The sequence below is a fragment of the Homo sapiens genome, chromosome 2, assembly GCF_000001405.40.
Source record: "Homo sapiens chromosome 2, GRCh38.p14 Primary Assembly".
In the NCBI taxonomy this organism is placed as follows: domain Eukaryota; kingdom Metazoa; phylum Chordata; class Mammalia; order Primates; family Hominidae; genus Homo; species Homo sapiens.
In genome coordinates, this window is record NC_000002.12 from 169,285,106 (window position 1) to 169,303,170 (window position 18,065).

The 18,065-nt window shown below is 39.1% G+C and overlaps 1 protein-coding gene across 3 annotated transcripts in view; it reads right to left on the reverse strand.

The window, feature by feature from the left end:
- LRP2 (LDL receptor related protein 2) overlaps positions 1-18,065 on the reverse strand; it is a 235,426-nt gene that overhangs the window by 157,997 nt on the left and 59,364 nt on the right. For all 3 annotated transcript variants that reach the window (XM_011511183.4, NM_004525.3, XM_047444340.1), the window contains exons 5-9: positions 9,495-9,605; positions 9,043-9,156; positions 7,148-7,264; positions 5,740-5,892; positions 3,921-4,040 (exon numbers count right to left, since the gene is read on the reverse strand). In XM_011511183.4, coding sequence (XP_011509485.1) covers positions 3,921-4,040; positions 5,740-5,892; positions 7,148-7,264; positions 9,043-9,156; positions 9,495-9,605 — 615 coding nt within the window. The remainder of the gene's footprint in view (positions 1-3,920; positions 4,041-5,739; positions 5,893-7,147; positions 7,265-9,042; positions 9,157-9,494; positions 9,606-18,065) is intronic.

An 18,065-nucleotide genomic window follows, 5' to 3' on the forward strand; every position in this document is an offset into this window, starting at 1 on the left:
TGAGACTAGCCTGGGCAATATGGCAAGGGTTTATGTGTACTAAGAATTAAAAAAAAAAAAAAAAAAATTAGCCAGGCATGGAGGCACGTGCCTGTAGTCCCAGCTATTCGGGAGGCTGAAGTGGGAGGCTGCAGTGAGCGTGATAATGCCACTGCACTCCAGCCTGGGCGACAGTGAGACCCTATCACAAAAAAACAGGATTTGAATGAGTGTATAAAATTGCTGTCACTTTTGTGACAATAAGATTGTATCCTTGGATCACTATAGAGGAATATGAAGGTTAATTAACATCCATCAGCAGCCAGAGTGAAGACAAGAAAAATAAAAGTAGAATTGAGGGTTTTCGTGAGAGTAGAAAAGATAGTGGAAACCACACAAAACACTAAAACACTACTTTACAATCCCCCTCTCACTCCAATACCTTTATCTATTTTTCTTTCCTTTTTATTCTTTGTCTCCTCCCACCAACAAATACTGCTGTGAAAATGACTCAAAAACCCCTTTTTAACTGAGCCCCCCTTGGCCACCCTCTGATCCATCTGGCTGTGTGAAACCCCACCATGCTGAATGACCTCCCTGCCCTCACTCTGCACCACGATGTCATTCTGTCAACAAACAGCATGTCCTGTCAATCAGAAACAATGAGCCCAGTAAACTGCTTCAGCATGCCTCAGAGCTTCCACTGCCAGGTCAACACTACCAGAGGCAGATGAATGGTAGAAAGACACAAGATTTCGTGTCAGGATTATTCAATGTTATTCTTGATTACCACCGAGGTATTCACTGGGGAGCCATGTCTAAGATAATAAATGTTGCATAGGTTTCCAACACCTGAAGCCTGTGTAATGCGTCAGCCATGCAGAGGGTTATAGCCATACAGAGAGTATTTGTTGAAATGAAATGCTTGAGAGAGCAAACCAAAGCAACAATTCCCCTAAAAATTCAGCTCAGCTGAAACAAGTGTAACTGGTTTCCTAACGTCATGTATTTAAAGAGTTCTCTATAAAGAGAGAAAAATACAGTCTTCTTTGAAACAAATGTGAAATAAATGTTAACCCAGCCTCAAAACTCAGAGGCAAATGACACATTCTTGAAGGACAGCAAAGGTCACAGAAAAGGTCTCTGCAGGTGGCAGGAGGCCTCATATTCACAAAGGCCCTCAAATGTAGACTTTTGAGATTATCTCCAAATGAGGTTGTCTGTACTAAAGTCCCAGAAACGCGCTGGCGGGAATGAAAGAAGATGTCTGTTGTGGAACTTAAAATTAGTGCCCCGGTATTAGAACACACTACTTCCAATGTGTTATTAATTGTGGTATCTTCTCTGATCCTGAAATTATCCTGTGCACACATAATACTGCAATATTCTGCCTTACATTCACTAGTAGGTTAAATGCAAAATTTTATAAAACAAGAACATTGTTATGACAGCCTTTCGCTTTGTGAGAGGCTATTGAAAATTGAAGTGGCCTGAATCTCTGACATTTAGAAAACCCTAGACATTTGGAAATACAACCCAAGGCTCACCACAGACTTATATGTTGGAAAATATGGAAAATGTGTTATCTGGGCTCTAGGGTGGAACAAAAAACTGAGAACAGCTTGTGGGGCATCACAAGACTGAATTAGCGATTCTGAAAGAACAAATCACTTTTCCTGAAAGGACTTCATGGCCTATCAAGTTTCAACTGTAAGACAGCTCAGCCCCAACTCCTCTTTGGGAGTTGATAAAGGAAAAAGAGAGAAAAGCTGATGTAATACTGAGAATGTGGCTTCTGGTATTTCTATTGGAACTTCTTTTCTACTAAGAGAAAAGGAAAATGCCTAAAGAACTAAAAGGCTGGGAATGGGATTGGCAGCTGGGTAGCAGTGAGGGGGGAAAAGGAGCCTGACATTTGCTAAAGACACAGGAGTGGCCTCACACCCACAGACGAGCCCCACTCTGAGCAGAAGTGAGGCTGCCCCTTTGCGCAGGGCTGCCTGAAATCCAGGCAGGGCTCCCAGAGTCAGGTCACCACCTAACCAATAAGGGCATTCGTGTGAAAAGTATCTGTAAATTACTTGAATGCATTCCCAATATAATGGTAATGATAACAATAAAACACAAAATGTGTCCTGCAATCTTATTTAAGTCCAGTTGCAGATCATAACTTTTATTTATAAAATGTTTTAAAATGATTAGAAATTTGGGGGCCTTCTTAAATTATTCCAGAGTTCACTTAAGTCACTTGATCTTAAAGTACCTTGTTGAATATAGTTACTTAAGAGGAGCAATTAGATGGGCAACTTTGGGACGTGGTCCTGATATTAAGAACCTACAGTTACCCACTATGAACACAAGGAAAAGCTCAAATGGATTGCTTTACTGGATATAAAAATCTAATTTTTTTTGGCATATGGTAGGTAAGTGAGCCCAACGATTGTAGTTTTCAGTAACGCTGAGGAGCAGACTTTCTCAAGAATTTCAAGTTTAATTTGCAAACCAGAGTTTATTTCTGGTATCAATACATTTTTCTGTTTGCTAGCACTTCCGCTGAAGAATAATAATAATAATAATAATAAAGAAAAAAAGAAAGGCTTTTCTGGCTATGAGTAGTTGTTAAGATTAGCTGTATTTGACAAAGTATAATTATGTTGGAAGCAATGAGCTGAGACTAAAGACTGAATAACTGCATTAGGTTTATCTATATTCAATAATTTTTTCCAAATGTTACCAAATAGTTCTAAAATATTAAAATTTTAATATTTTAATATTAAAATTTTAATATTTTAATAATATTAAAATAATAATTTCAGAAGAAATACTTTTCTAGAAGCATTTCTTACACATTTCATGTTTGTTGCTATCCCAAAAGCCCTAAAGAATACCTCACATTTCTAAGGAATATCAAAAGAATATAAATATCCTGGGAAAATTCTGAATCATTTTGGAGCCCCATAGATGACTACCAAATTTTAATGAATAGTTTCAATTGCCTTCCAGATGCCTTTTCCCAACAGCAGTAAAAATAGTTTTCTTTAAACTCCCTCTGTGATCACTTCCTGCTAGTATGTTTGTTGTTCATGTATCAAAAATCAGATAGAAGGAAAAAAGATCAGAGCACCAAAAACTCACTGAGAAAACAAAAACTGATGATAGTTGGTCAAGTCTAATTCTCCCATCATAAGGCCCCGTCCTAATCACAGTGAGATATAAAGCTGGCATCAAAATCAAAAATCTCATTGGGAGAAATCATTTCTGAAGTCAGAGAGGAGAGATATGAGGAAATAGTTGGTGTACTGGTGTCTAGTTTAATGCCAGCCACCATCTGGAAGCACCATGATAAAGAATCTGCTCATCTTGAATGATAGTTCCAAGTGGATGTCACAATCAGTGGAATGAGTAGCCAGCCCAGCAAAGGCACTGGCCCACCAGTGTAGTCACCTGAGCAATGACCTGGTGATCCTCTGCTGTGTCAGGTAACAACTCTTTAGTTGTGGGATCCTGGGGATGCTTGTGCATCCTGGAGAAGAGGCCAGGGGAGCAAGGTAGCGGTGCTTGCTGGGCTCAGGCAGCAGCTATCTACCAACCTCATGGAAGTAGTTCAGTATTCAATAACCAGTATGGCTGCACCAATCCTGATGCCAAATACTTGAAAAGAAAACAGAAAAGGACTACCGCCCTCATCAAGTAATGGATAGGTTCCAGGTAGCTAGTCAACTCGCTCATGACAGAACCATTCTTTTGCCTTGTACACCACACCAAACCTTCTCAGAGTTAAAATTCCCTATTTGCCAGGTTTTCTGTGAGGTCTGGGTTGCTCTTTGTTATGACAGACCATGACGACTCTCCACAAGTGCAACCTCCTAGATGTCAGAGATCAGGGCACCCATCAGTGTACTGTAATGAAAGACAAGTAGCCGCCGCCCCCCATCACTTACCAACACAGGTACGGCTGTCATTGTGGTTGATGATATAACCTGGGGGACAAAAACACGCTCCTCCATACGGCGTCTCATGGCACTGGTACTGGCAGTTCAAGGCAGAGCACAGAGTCATACCTAAACGAAGAAAAGAACTTTGTTAAATGAATGGTGACCTCTGGACAAGACTGATTAATCTAATAGCTTCTTTTTCCATGAGTAGCAGCTCAGTAAGCATGAAGTAGATGTACAGAAAAATCTGTCACCCTTCAAAGCTTACTGCAAAACTTTGCAATAAAAGTTCAACTGAGACAGGAAGATTGCTTGAAGCCAGGAGATCAAGACCAGCCTGGGTAATGTAGCTACACCTCATATTCACAAAAAATTAAAAATAAAAGCATTAGCCAGGCACAGTGGCTCACAACTGTAATCTCAGCACTTTGGGAGGCCAAGGCAGGAGGATCACTTGAGCCCAAAAGATGGAGGCTGCAGTGAGCTATGACTGCACCACTGCACTCTAGCCTGGGTGACAGAACAAGAGGCTGCCTTGAGTGGAAACAAAAGAAAAGAAAAAGCTCCTTTTTAAAGTTATAACTATGTGCAAGTATAAGTCATTAAAAGTCTTATTTATGAAAAAAAAATCAGGTCATGCATGGGTCTATCTTTGTGTCTACATAGTAAAAAGGGCTAAGAACTCCCAAGTGACTGGAGCAAGAATAAGCCCTAGAAATATTAACTGTGGCTGGCTTCAAGAGATGGGATTTCAGGTGATTATATTTTTTTCTTTTGGTTAATTTTTATTTTCCAACTTTCATACTGTGACTACATATCTCTTATTAATTTTTAAGCTTTTTTAAATGGGCTCCCAAATGAAATAGAGAAAAAAATGCCATAGAGGTCTCTGCCTGTTTAAATATTATGTACAATTTTTGTCAGGAAACAAAAAATAACCTTGGGGTTGCAGTTACATGGGCACTTCTAGGCAATCACAAATTTAGTTAGAGTATATTATTGATGAAATCAAGGTTTTAAATGGCATTTCCTTACAGGACCATCAGCTGTCCACAGAGTTGATGGGTTGTTGGTGGGGTGAATATTCTACAGCCCCAAAAAAGGAGAAAAAAAATCCCTAGTTCCAGTCAGTTTCCTCATAAATGAATGTGGTCACACAAGACATAATCGAACAACACTGTGCATGGCCAACTCAGTTTTGCCATTGGAGAGTAACTCAAGGTACATAACCCAGGAACCAGAAGCTTTTTTTTTTTTTTTTTTTTTTTTTTTTTAGTACAGCCAGACAAGGCCTTTTTCCATAAGTATAAGCCAGGTAATAAAATCTCCAGAACATCTTTAAGGTCATCAAAATTGCCATTGAAACAATCCTCCCTGTGTGTGCGTTAGGGATTAGGAACGGGGAGTTGCTAAAAAATTGTTAGGCTCTTCCCATCAATAGATGGAGTCTATTTCTTCCATCCACTCTGGGTTTGGCCAAGTGTCTTGCTTTGGACAATAAGACTTGAGCAAACTTGGCATAAGTAGAACCTTGAAAGTACTTGAGCCCTAGGATTTGCTCTTTCAGCCTCTGGGTCAACAAGGCTAGGCTAGCCCAAGCTTTTACTGCAACATCCTGACGTGTGAGTGAGCTGATACAGGCCAGAGGAACTACCTAGCCAACCCACAGAACTGTGAGAAATAAGACACGTTTCTCAGTTTATGCCACTAAGTCTTGGGGTGCTTTGTTATGCAAATGCCAACAGATACACTGTATTTGAACGTCTGTTCTAGAAAACAGAAATATCTTTATCTGAAAGCTACCCAGGTAAATGTCTATACTCACTACAGTATTTTCCGGTACTAGTGTTGTTTTCATCTTCTCTTCCTGGGCAATCTAAAATCCCATCACAAACTTTATAAATGGAGATGCATCGTCCCGACTCTGGGCAAGACCATTCTCTTGGGGAACATTTATGAACATCATGAGGACCGCTTTCTGTGGGGGGAAAAAGAGAGAGTTACAGGCCATAGGGGAGGTACAGCCAGCTCTTTGTTAATCAGTGGTTTACAGAGGATGTAGAGCAAGTTGAACAAGAGAAATCTATAAATGATCTACATTTTACAATAAGTTAGTGATTTCTAACTCTACCACTAGTCTTTTACTGAGATTCTAAGGAGAGGCATAATGGAATTACTCCACTTTTCCTGGAAAAGGCAGCCCCCAGTAGGGTTATAAGAGGAAGAAGCAGATATGGGCCTCAATTATCGACAAACTAAATTCATGATCCCCTAAGAAAAGATGTAGTTATTTAAATCATGAATTATAGAATTAGGGCCATCAAGTTAGGTCCAGAATTACTTGAATTTGTGGTTGGGCTTTTTGATTTGCTTTGTTTATTTAGTGAAATGTCAACAGTATAAGAAAAACCATAACCCAAATGTAGAAAAACCACTTTCTGGAACATAAAAACATAAAACATAGTTTTAACAAGCATTTCCCTTATCATACCTGGGATTGGAATGGTGCAGGTAACTTGCTGTAGGGTATGGGTATTAGTAACTGCTAAATTGTTGGAGGTACTGCTGATGATATCAGCAACATAAAAGGGTCAATATCAGCAACATAAAAGGGTGAATATCACTGGCAATTTCCTTCTCACGGAATCTTTAAGCACTTCCCTGGATAGTAGCTTCTCCTACACTTACCATCCCCAGCTCCAACCCACGTGTTCCCAAGGTGGCCTCTCTTTCACCACTGAGTGTCAGTGACTCATTTGGGAATCAGAATTTACAAAACCAAAACAAAAAAATAAGCTGAACTGTTACCAAGGTTCAAAGTCATTTTTAAAGATTGTAAGGTCTAAGACAAATGACATTTTCCCTATTTTCTTTCCTTCCCCAGCCTATTAGTTTTATATAGTTTTAAATCTATTTAAAACAGGCAGTCTTACAGGGAGAAAGTCAGACTGGGGTATAGAAGAGACAGAGACTGTCCTACCTATTTTGCCTTAAAGATAGAAGGGAGAGGATTATAATTTAATCTGTATTTGTGTTCTGAATCTTCTTAGGAGAAGTTAGCGCAGTCACCTCCGTCTTCCCCACCCACTAAGTTCCTAAACAACCCCTTCAACTCCAGCCAATCCTGAGGCTTGCTTGTCACACAAAATTTCTAAAAAGGAAAGGAGAAAAAACAAGCGCTGGAAAACACTTGAAGAAAATGCTTTTCAGTAGGAATCTCTTCCCCTCCTTACCACATCCATCTTCATCTCCATTATCTTTACAGTCATCTTCTCCATCACAAACCCAGTTTTGATAAATGCATCGGCCACTGGGGCAAGTGAACTGGTAACCACCGCAGGTCGGATAGTCTGGAATAAAGCAACAGCTGCACTCCAAAGACACAAATCACCGGGAAAAACTGAAAGTGCTCTCACCTCACTGCCTAAGCAGTACTCCTAGAAATTGAAATTTCTATATCAATTTAATCCCTTAGACATCTTGACAAAAATTTTTAAAAAGGAGGAAAAAAAAGAGAGAGAAAGAAGAAGATAACAGCAGCTTTGGGTCCAGGAAATGAACTCAGGTGCCGGTTTCTGTTTTTCAAGATTAAAAATTAGATCAGCCTGGGCAACATGGTGAGACCTCATCTCTACCAAAAATACGAAAAATAAAAATAAATAGCCAAGCATGGTGGTACATGTCTGTAGTCTCAGCTACTCAGGAGGCTGAGGTGGGAGGATGGCATGAGCCTGGTGGGGGTGTGTGGAGTTGCAGTGAGCCAAGATCGCACCACTGCACTCCAGCCTGGGTGACAGAGTGAGACCCTGTCTCAAAAAAAAAAAAAAAAAAAAAAAAAATTAAAAACAAGATGGTTTGCAATGCGTTGGCACAGAACAGAAAATGCAGACAAAGATGCTGCAGACATGACAACATCCAACGTTCTCATACTTTACTACAAGCTCCGTAATTGCTAATCTATGACCAAATGATTCTGAGTCGACCATTCCATGATGTCACATTCTCTTTAATTCTCTGTCACTGAAATAAGCCCAGGTTCCAGAAAGGAAGTCAGGCATGGCTCATTGAAAATTAGGGTGATATCGAAAATATTTAACAACACCCTAAGGCATGGGTACCAACCAATCAAAAGAGGTGTGGAGGGAAATCATACATTCTAGTAAATAAATCACCACGCAAAGCTGCCAACTTACTGAACATAGTAAAACTCTTTCACAGAGTCTTCTAACTTTACTCTTTCCAAAAAACATAAGTGGAGAGGTGGCAACAATAAGAGAGGTCATTTGCATTGCAGGCAACAGCATGGACATAAAAGCAAGGTCAGCGTGAAGAAGTGGAGGCAAGAAAGCCACCTATACCACACTGAAACTTTCAGGCTGGGCGTGGTGGCTCATACCCATAATACCAGCACTTTGGGAGGCCGAGGCGGGCGGATCACTTGAGATCAGGAGTTCGAGACCAGCCTGGCCAACACGGTGAAACCCCATCTCTACTAAAAACACAAAATTAGCCAGACATGGTGGTGCATGCCTGTGATCCCAGCTATTCGGGAGGCTGAAGCAGGAGAACTGCTTGAACCCAGGAGGCGGAAGTGGCAGTAAGCCGAGATCGCGCCACTGTACTCCAGCCCAGGCAACAAAGCAAAACTCCATCTCCAAAAAAAGAAAACGAAGAAAAAGAAACTTTCCTGACCCTCCAACTTTAATGCAGCAGAAATTTCAAAGTAAAGAGGAGAGTTAGAGCCACTCCTAGGAACTTCCTTTCCCTTAAAAACACTTCTCTCATTCTACTATCAAGGTTGTCAGAGGTATGGGTCATTTGAGAATCCAGTGATACAATATATCCTGTACCCCTGGAGCCTAAGGAAAGAAGGCAAACTGTCCATCACCAGCCCTTTACATCTACACAGATCCTTGGAAAATAAAGGAGCCCAGGTCGAGCAACACCACAAAGGCTTGTGCCAAGACCCCCTAGTGACCGTCTGATTCCATCTGCCATCAAACGTAGTGACTCTTCTCCTTGAAAAAAGAGGTACATTGGTGGGGGAGCGGGGGGATAAAACAAAACAAAACCGAAACAAAACAAAACACTCCCAACAACATGACCCAGCATAAAGAAATCACCGTACTGCAAGCATGTTCGTCACTGCCGTCTTGGCAATCATTGTCATGGTCACAGACATAAGCACGAGGGATACACTCTCCATTGCCACATGAAAACTCATTGTGCAAGCATATCTCAGCTGCAACAGAAAGTTAAGAAGGGAAAGAAAAGAGAGAAGTTAACTCCATTGTAGCCATTTAATCTCAAAGGAAGAGCATCTCCAGTTTAAAAAGGGATTCTTATTAAGCAGTGGTGTGCTGGTAACTGTTTAAGAACCAGTTATCCAGGAACAAAAAGGCCCTGGTTTGTAGTGTTTGCCGATTTCCAGTGTGTAAATACTCCTACCAACGGCTGACTTCAAACTACCAACATGAATTCACTGAACCTGAACTTGGGAAGAGATGTACATATTGGCTCTCTCAAACCAGTATAAACCAGCTTCAGCACACAACTGCACATCTTGTGCACAATACTTACTGCAGTTGATTTCATCTGAGGAGTCCCTGCAATCAACTTTCCAATCACACTTCTGACTGGTGTTATAGCAGGCCCCATTGTCACAAGTAAGCTGCTCACATGTTGGGTACTCTATTGTAAAAAAAAAAAAAAAAAAAAAAAGGAAAAGGAAACAGTAAACAAACCTTAAATTTCCTTCAGCAAACATTTATTGAGTGATTACTATATGCAAGTCACTAAATGCATATATTGATACACAAAAGAAGTATGCTCCCTGGCTTCATGGAGAGTAAGGCTGGACATGGGAGACAGACATTAATCAAATAAGACACAAATGGTAAATTACAAACTGGGATAAGTGCTAATGTGGAAAGTACAGAGGACTGTGAGACTGCATAGCAGAGAGATTTGGGGGCCCAGAAAAGTATCCCCTGAAGAAGTGACTTTTGAGCCAAAAGATGAAGAATGAGAAAGAATTTAACTTTAGTTCAAAATCAAACATTCTTTTACATGATACAGATAACATCCCAGGAAACTAAAGTACCACTGCACAAGCTTGGAAAAAAGAAAGGCCATTTCTTCCACTGGCGGGTTGCAGAAAGAAAGCAGGCCTAGAGTTCAGGAGCCCTGGCGGCCCAGAGGTACCACTAAGCAGCTATTTACTGTGACTCAAGCTTCATGTCCTCTCCATGTTGCTACTTCCCTATCTGCACATTTGGATAACCTACTGCACAGGGTAGAGCGGCCTGAAAAGACCATGTCTGGTAAAGCATGTTGAAAAGCATAATGTGCTTTCAAAGCACAAATTGTTGTTGCCACGTTATGTACATATGACCACCTCACTGCTACTCACTGGACCTGGTTTTCTAGGTCACAGTTGAAAATCAGGAAGTCCCTTACAGGAATAACGTGCTATCTGTCCCTCCTCTCTACTTGCCAGACTTGGACCACCTGTCTCTCATGACTTCTTACTGGAGGCTTTATTCTGTGGATGGTTGATCTCTTTCCGCCATGACATAATGAAACTCCCTGAGATCAAGGATCCTGTCTTACTCATTTTAGAATCCCCAACAATTAGTACAGGGGTGGGACATTTCTCACTGTGCACACTTAGTACAGGGGTGGGACATTACTCTCTGTGCTTGAGAAATGTTCAATGTTGCTATTATTTATCACAGGTGAACATTTTAGTTCATTCGGCTTTTTAAAATATTTTGAAGTTCTGCCTTTTATGGCCTTTGAATACCCTCCTTTTCACAAATGTGGATATCTTCCTTGGTCTGACCATCTTCTTCATGAAAGATTATTTTTGTAGTGATTATCAGGTCATCTTCTGATTTCTTTTTAACCAAGGAAAAGGTATGTCTTAATTGACTTTGAGTCTCAATTTTGCACTTAAGAACCCAATTTGAGATTTTATAGAGATATAAATATATTGAAGATAATTCTTTGGATAGTCCCAAGTCTTTTCAAGCAGAAGCCATGCACAAAATTCTGTGCTGAAACTGTACTAAACTTGTGCCATGTTAACAACTTGCACTTTTTAAAAAAATGGACTCTCCAATGATCTTTTTTTTGGTATAGTAAAGGAATAAGCCTAACTCTTCTCATCTCCAGAGGTTCAAAGCTAGTTTATTAAGTGTCCTTAAATATCTCAATTGCCAGAGTTACATATAGTCAATCATATGTTAAAATGGAAGGCATTTTTAAATAGCTGGTTAAAATTTAAAATTTTTTCTGAATTTTATTTTGTTTTTTAATAGTCCAAAAGTGAGCCAGTGCCTAGAGTTATTGCGTCTTTCCTCGCTGAGATGATATGCCTTACAAATGTGCCTTCAAATGAGTCACACAACTCTCCCTTCAAGTGATGTTTATTAATTCTCCCTTCAAGAGATGCAAAAGACCAGGTGAGGTCAGCAAGCAATTCCTTTGCCCCTGTGAGCCAGATAGCTCCTAGAGTCAATGTGTTATCTAGCCTTTTAAGAGCAGCAGCAAGCAGAAGAAAAACTCGTAGAAAACCCAGCTCTTTGCAATAGATAAGCTATCTGTCTGGAGGAAAATTAATCTGGGCTTGAACGGTGGCTACTTCATTTAAGGTGATAATTATAAATATAAAGAATCTGGAATAAGTGTGCTGGATGGATCTCTCGTTTTCTTCATCCTGCTTTTTGAGAGCCAGTGCCAGAAAATTGAAAGGGGAAAGATTAAAACTGTAACCACTGACATGACTACAAGTTTACTGACAAGGCCCATTCCCCACCCAACAAACAAGAAGCCCAGCTTGATATCATCAGGGAGGGTATTGTGATGGCCAGAGGTCAGCAGTTTGACTTTTGGAATGAGGAACACACAGCTTTCTTGTCTCCATCCACACTGATAAAGAATCACTCTCAATCAGCAGAGGACCCCTCTCAACCCCTGCACACCTTGATCTCTTCGGTGCATAGTTAACCTGGGATGTATACTCATAGGAAAGATTGCACAGAGCTCCCTAACTCCACCAAATACTGAAAATACCTGAAAATCTGTTTCTGAATGGTTTTCCCTCTTTGGAGACCCACACAGAGACAACAGGTCCAAACTGTCAACACTGAGCAAAGAAAGAAATGAATGGATTCTACTACCATTGCTAAAGATGTTAATGAGTTTCAATCTACTCCAGAAAACAATAATTCACAATCCTTTGAGCTTCCAACTGGGAGATATCTAAAGTCTTATTTTTTGGTTCATTTGCTTGGCAAGCCTAAGTCTAACCTTCTTCCCACAGAGCAAATCCATCATGTGGCTATAATGTCCTGCAAGAATTTAAGTATAGGGTAAAGTGCAATATGAGAGGAGACCATATATAAGAACACCAAGGAAACTCTTCCTTCTGAATTTGGTTTTAATGGAAAGATCAACAAGTAGCTATAAATTAAGCCTCAGACCTTTAAGGTTTTTTCTAACACAAAAAGGTGAGAATATCCTTCCTCATACCACTCCTTGCTTCCCCTTTCTTTACTTTCTCCCAATCCCAAATGATACATGTTCAGATTTGTTCCCCCATAATTGGGAGCTGCCCCAAAATTATGCAGACAAGAGTTTTTATATTTTTTCACTGTTAATGATTTGGTTTGAAGCAAGAAATTTCTATGCTATAGTTCTGTTTACATAATCAGGGAGGAGGGTGTAGAAATGTAGTTTGAAGATCTTGTAGACCTCTTAGAATGGAAATCATTTTAAGCAGAGTAAGATACAAATATAAGGCACTGTTCATTATTATCTTGACAGGAAGACTGCAGACATGTTTTATTCTCACAATTTGACAACATGGCTGAGGACAACATAGAAAAAACCATTATTATGAAGAAGGAATCTTAAAAGTAGGTTAGGAAACTTAAGCCAAGATTGGGAAACACACACACACACACACACACAAGAAATTACCGATACAAGTCCAGCCCAGACACCTGGGACTTTTCAAGGTCCTAGAGTCATCCTTTATAAGTTACTTTATGTTATTTCCTCTGGCTCCAAGACAGATTAATCCAGTCAATGTAATGATTTGCCAGAAAGAATCTACCAGTTTGGCCACCAGCACTTACTTCAAGCGCTACCCACAAAGTTAAACAAGCAATCATCATCATCATCATCATCATCATCATCATCATCATCAATAACATGTATTAAAAACTATGTGCCAGACATGTGTCAAAGTACTCAATATGTATAAACTCATTTCATCTTCATAACAACTTCATGAAGTAAATACTATGATGACTCCCATTTTATAGAGTAAGAACCTGAGCATTAAGAGGTTAAGGAATTTGAAAAAGGTCACATAACTGGTAAAGTTGGAGAGCCAGAATTCAAATCCAATCAACCTGGCTCCATAACCCAGGTTACTAACCACTACCACAGATACATCTACCACTTATAGGCTGCAGAGTAAGTAACAGGAAGAAGCGAAAAATTAAAGAAGAAAGAAATTGAATGAAATGGTAATAGAAAATTCTTAAAAGAGATTATGAAAAGAAAAAGAAGAAACCCAAGAGGAAGGGGGGAAGATTTTCTTTCTGCCAGTCAGTTTCCCATCCACATTAGGAAGAAGGGAAAAGTGAGGCCAACTCTAGTTTCCCACAACTTATGGCATAGTTAACAAAGTACTTCAATATGATATAATCTAGGAATTCTAGGAAACCTACACAGGAAAAATAACTTTCCAGAAGGAGTACCAGGACAAACAGGAGAGTCAATACCAAAAAACAGGCCATAAAGTTAGTCTCATGAAGGTACCACCACGACTCCCCAAACCCCCATTCCTGGTGAATTTCAAGTCCCTAAAGTGACTGCCATCATGGACTAGCTCTTAGGGAATGCAGTAATATACAAGGAAAAAAACAGAGAAGCATATCCTTCCCCAGTCCAAAAGTAATTTGAAGAAGCTTTCAATAAAAAGTTATATAAAACCAGATTTATTAAAAAAGAAATTCAGAAAGAAGAAAGAAAGAAGGAAAGAAAGAAAGAAGGAAAGAAAGAAAGAAAGAAAGAAAGAAAGAAAGAAAGAAAGAAAGAAAGAAAGAAAGAAAGAAAGAAAGAAAAAAAGAAAGAAAGAAAAAGAAAGAAAGAAAGAAATTCAGCACCTTGGAAAGAGAAAGAAAATATGGTCATCCCGAGGACTTGTAGAATTGAACTAACATCAAGTTTAGTCTGGGTGGCTTTCAGGAAGCCAAAGGAAAAAGAGAAATAAACTAAGTTATCTAGTTTTCCTTAGCTCACTCCCTTTGTACTAACTGGGTCTTAAGCCTGAGATTCCTTGCTGGTCTCTATCCACAGTGACCTAATCTTAGACCTCAACTAGAAATGTGCCTGAGAGGGTTGCTCCAAGGAGTCCAGATCCACAGCACTGCCTTCTTCCCATAACAGAGCTATCACCAAAAACTGCAAAGGAGATAAAAACTGACATAGTTCTAAATTCCTTAAAAAAAAAAAAAACTCACACAAGCTCTATTACAAAAGTGACCGAGCAACAAGATGGAAAAATGTGCATCAAATGCTCCAAGGAATAGTACAAAGAAGTAAGATGCCTTCTAAGGGGTAAACAAATGTTTATAATGTACATCATGTTTAGTGGCACGGGGCTACATGTTTTCATTGAAAGCCAGACAACACCATGGTTTCATACTTTAGTAGTTATTCCCAGGGACCCACCTGGGCAGAACAAAAGACAAAATCTAATCAAAGAGACAGGAAAACTAGCTGCACCCCAGCATTATAAGAGTAGCCACTTTCCAATCACTAGAAATGGTGTGGCTCAGCCTCCCTGCTGGAAATGTAGCCCCAAATAATTTGAATACTCATCAGCAAATCATTGCTGGATGAATGTCAATATCCTAGAAACCAGTTATTCTACAGAGTGCTGCCTTCTTCTTAATTAGAATTCTCTTGTGCTCAACATGTATTTATTGAAATCTGACTTCATAGATACTGTGCTAAGAATTAAATTAAAAGGTAAACAAAATTACAAGTGAAGTAGCAATTCCCACAGCATTTTATTAATCAATCCATACAAAAATAATTATTGCACACCTATAGTGTGCAAGGTACTAAAGAATGAAATAAAATCCCATTTCTCATGGAACAGACATTCTATTTGGGAGAGTGAAATTACAGCTATTAAAGTAAATGTCACAATGGGAAAAAAAACTTGCAAAAATAGAGCTGGGTAAAAGGTAAAGAGTAACTGTGGGGAGTAGCTCTCTGAGAAGTGATATTTGAACAAGAACCATTAGGCTTAGCATAATGGCAGTCATTGGTAGCATTGAAAGAATATTTTCAGGAGATTGGTGAAGATGAAGGACTATTTTCAGTGGGTTCTAAAAAAAGGACAATCAGTTGGATATATCACATATGTAAAAAAAATTTTTTTAAAGAAAGAAACAGGACGAGGGTAAACGGAAACAGCCATTAACGTTAATGCTAGGAAACTCTGTTGTAAAAGGGAGCAGAGTAATTGGCAACAGCTAAGAGGGATCTTAGGATCTTTTTAAAGATGGGGGATATTTATAACATCCTTGTATGATGGAAACTAAATAAAAGAGAGTTTTCTTTCCTTCCTCCAGGTTTCAGGGCTCTGAATCCTATCTCAATTGTGAGAATGCTAAAAAGGTACATCTGTGATGTGACAGGTAAGATGGGGTCCTTTGGAGAGTCGCCTGCTTCTTCTTTCTGGCTTCAGGGAGAGAGAGAATAGCAAGGGCAAGGCTCGCTGGGCAGCTTAAATGTGGAACTGAGTTTGAAGAACATGTTCTTCATGCACCCTCACAGTCCACAAAATGACTTTAACCATCTTTTTATTCCCCTCCCACTGTTCCCTCAGCTGGAGTTTCAGCAGTTAAAGATATAAAGAAAAATGTTTAAATTCTAAAGAGCAGAAAGTCAATAGAAATAAAACTTCTGGGACAAAGCAGCCCCAGTTGCAGGCAGACCAAGTACTGCTGATTACCAGCAAGAAAGCCTTCATTGTAACAGGGATTTTACCCTTTCTTTGGCATTCCTAAGTAACAAAAGAGAAGTGCTGCAAACCAACGATAATTAGCAATAGTTTTATTCACACCAAAATCATTCTAATATGGTGCTTGAAAAAGCAAAATAATCTTTTCACTTAACAGAAAAAAACTGTACTATTTTTGAGCAACTGAAAGTCACGTCAATATATTAATTGAATGACCTATAATTGCTGCATTGTTCTGATGTTTATCTTAGACCCTGCATGAGTGGTTTTTCCTTGATGCTAATCCCATTAGAAGTAAAATGGACCGCAGTTTTGAATCTCTCTGTTCCTTAAAAAAAAAAAAAAGTTAATTGACAAGCTGTTTAATATGAGATGCCATTTTACAGATGACCAGATTGAATAATAAAAGAACTAAGGGGGAAAATGAGCTTTTACCTGTTTCACAGGTTTTAATATATATATATTCAAAAATTTTTCTAAAAGGGTAAAATAACCACCAATACCTTATGCATATAAAGATGAAGCAGATAAAAAGACCAAACGCAATAAGAATCTCTCATACTATACCACATTTATCTCAAAAATAATCTTTTTGTTGAGACCCTAATATCCTCCCCTTCCTCACCATCTCGAACATTCTCTCACCTCCTCTCTCCCTGCCTGCCTCCCTGAGAGGACTCTTACACACCACTCTTTGTTCTGTAAAGGAATGCCCGGAATGGACACAAGGTACTCTGTCTTGGAGCTCAGTGTCTTGATTTTAGAAGCTTGAAAGGGTATGAACTACAACCTAGGGGTCTGGAATGACAGGCAGGGCTACAAACTACAACATCAAGCTCCCTAATCCTTTTGAATATTAGAGGGAAGAATTGAGCCCTTCTTTGGAGCTTTTCCAACATCCATTACTATTTTTAGGTGGTTTCCAGGTACCTAATATATTCATTCCTATAGGCCATTCTATTTCTGAGAAATAGAAAAACAAAAGCCCCATTCACAGGCTAATTCTAAGTTTGTCCACAAGTAATGATTTCCATGCATCGTCACTGCAGAAATAATAAAGTGTCATGTCTCATGAAGATGATTTCTGGCTAAGCCTCATTTAATCTTTGATCACATGAAAACATTCTAATTTAAAGCAACTAATAACAGCTGTTATATATCTAATGCAACATTTAAAATAACTAAGTACTGCTATGACTAAATGGATTTCAGCAATGATCATCAATGGCTACTCACATCACAGACAGCTAGCTATCCTGTGTCTCCTAATGAAAATACACAGATTTATATAAAAAGTACTCTTGCCTTCCCTTGTTTCCCCACCAAGAAAATCCTTGCACCTGTTCAGTCCCCTAAATCAGTGGTTCTCAACTGGATGATTTGGCTCCTGGAGGACATTTGACAACGTCCAGAGACATTTTGGATTGTCACGACTGGGCAATGCTACAGACATCTAGTGGATAGAGGCCAGGGATACTGTTAGACATTCTACAATGCACAAGAAAGAACTGTCCGGTCCCAAATGTCATTAGTGTGAAGGTCGAGAAACCCTGCTCCAGGTCTAGCTACTAATTGCCAAGAAATACAGAGGACAGAGAATGTGTTAAAGGACATCAGGGGACACAATGAACACAAGCCAGACTGTGGGAAACTCCAGGACAAGTGACCTGGGTTTTTTTTTTTAACAAGTAAATTGCAAGGGGTAAAGAACAGAAATAGAAGGAAACCCCATAAATTGAAAGGCTTATGAGACATATCAACTAACTTGAACATAAAGATTTTATTTGGACTTTGATTTAAATAATCAAACTATAAAAAATAACAAGATGATTGGGGAATTTTAAAAACTGACTCAATATCTGATTATTTTAAAGAAGAGTTGTTTAATTTTTAGGTGTGATAATGATATTATGATTATGTTTCAGTCCTTATATTTTAGAGATAAATACTGAAATATTTACAGGTGGAATTATACAATGTCTAAGAAATACTTCAAAATAATGGGGAGAATAAAGAGAATAAATAAAACAATATTAGTTATGAGTTCATCATTGATGTAATTGAGTGATGCATACAAAGGGGTTCACTATACACTTCAT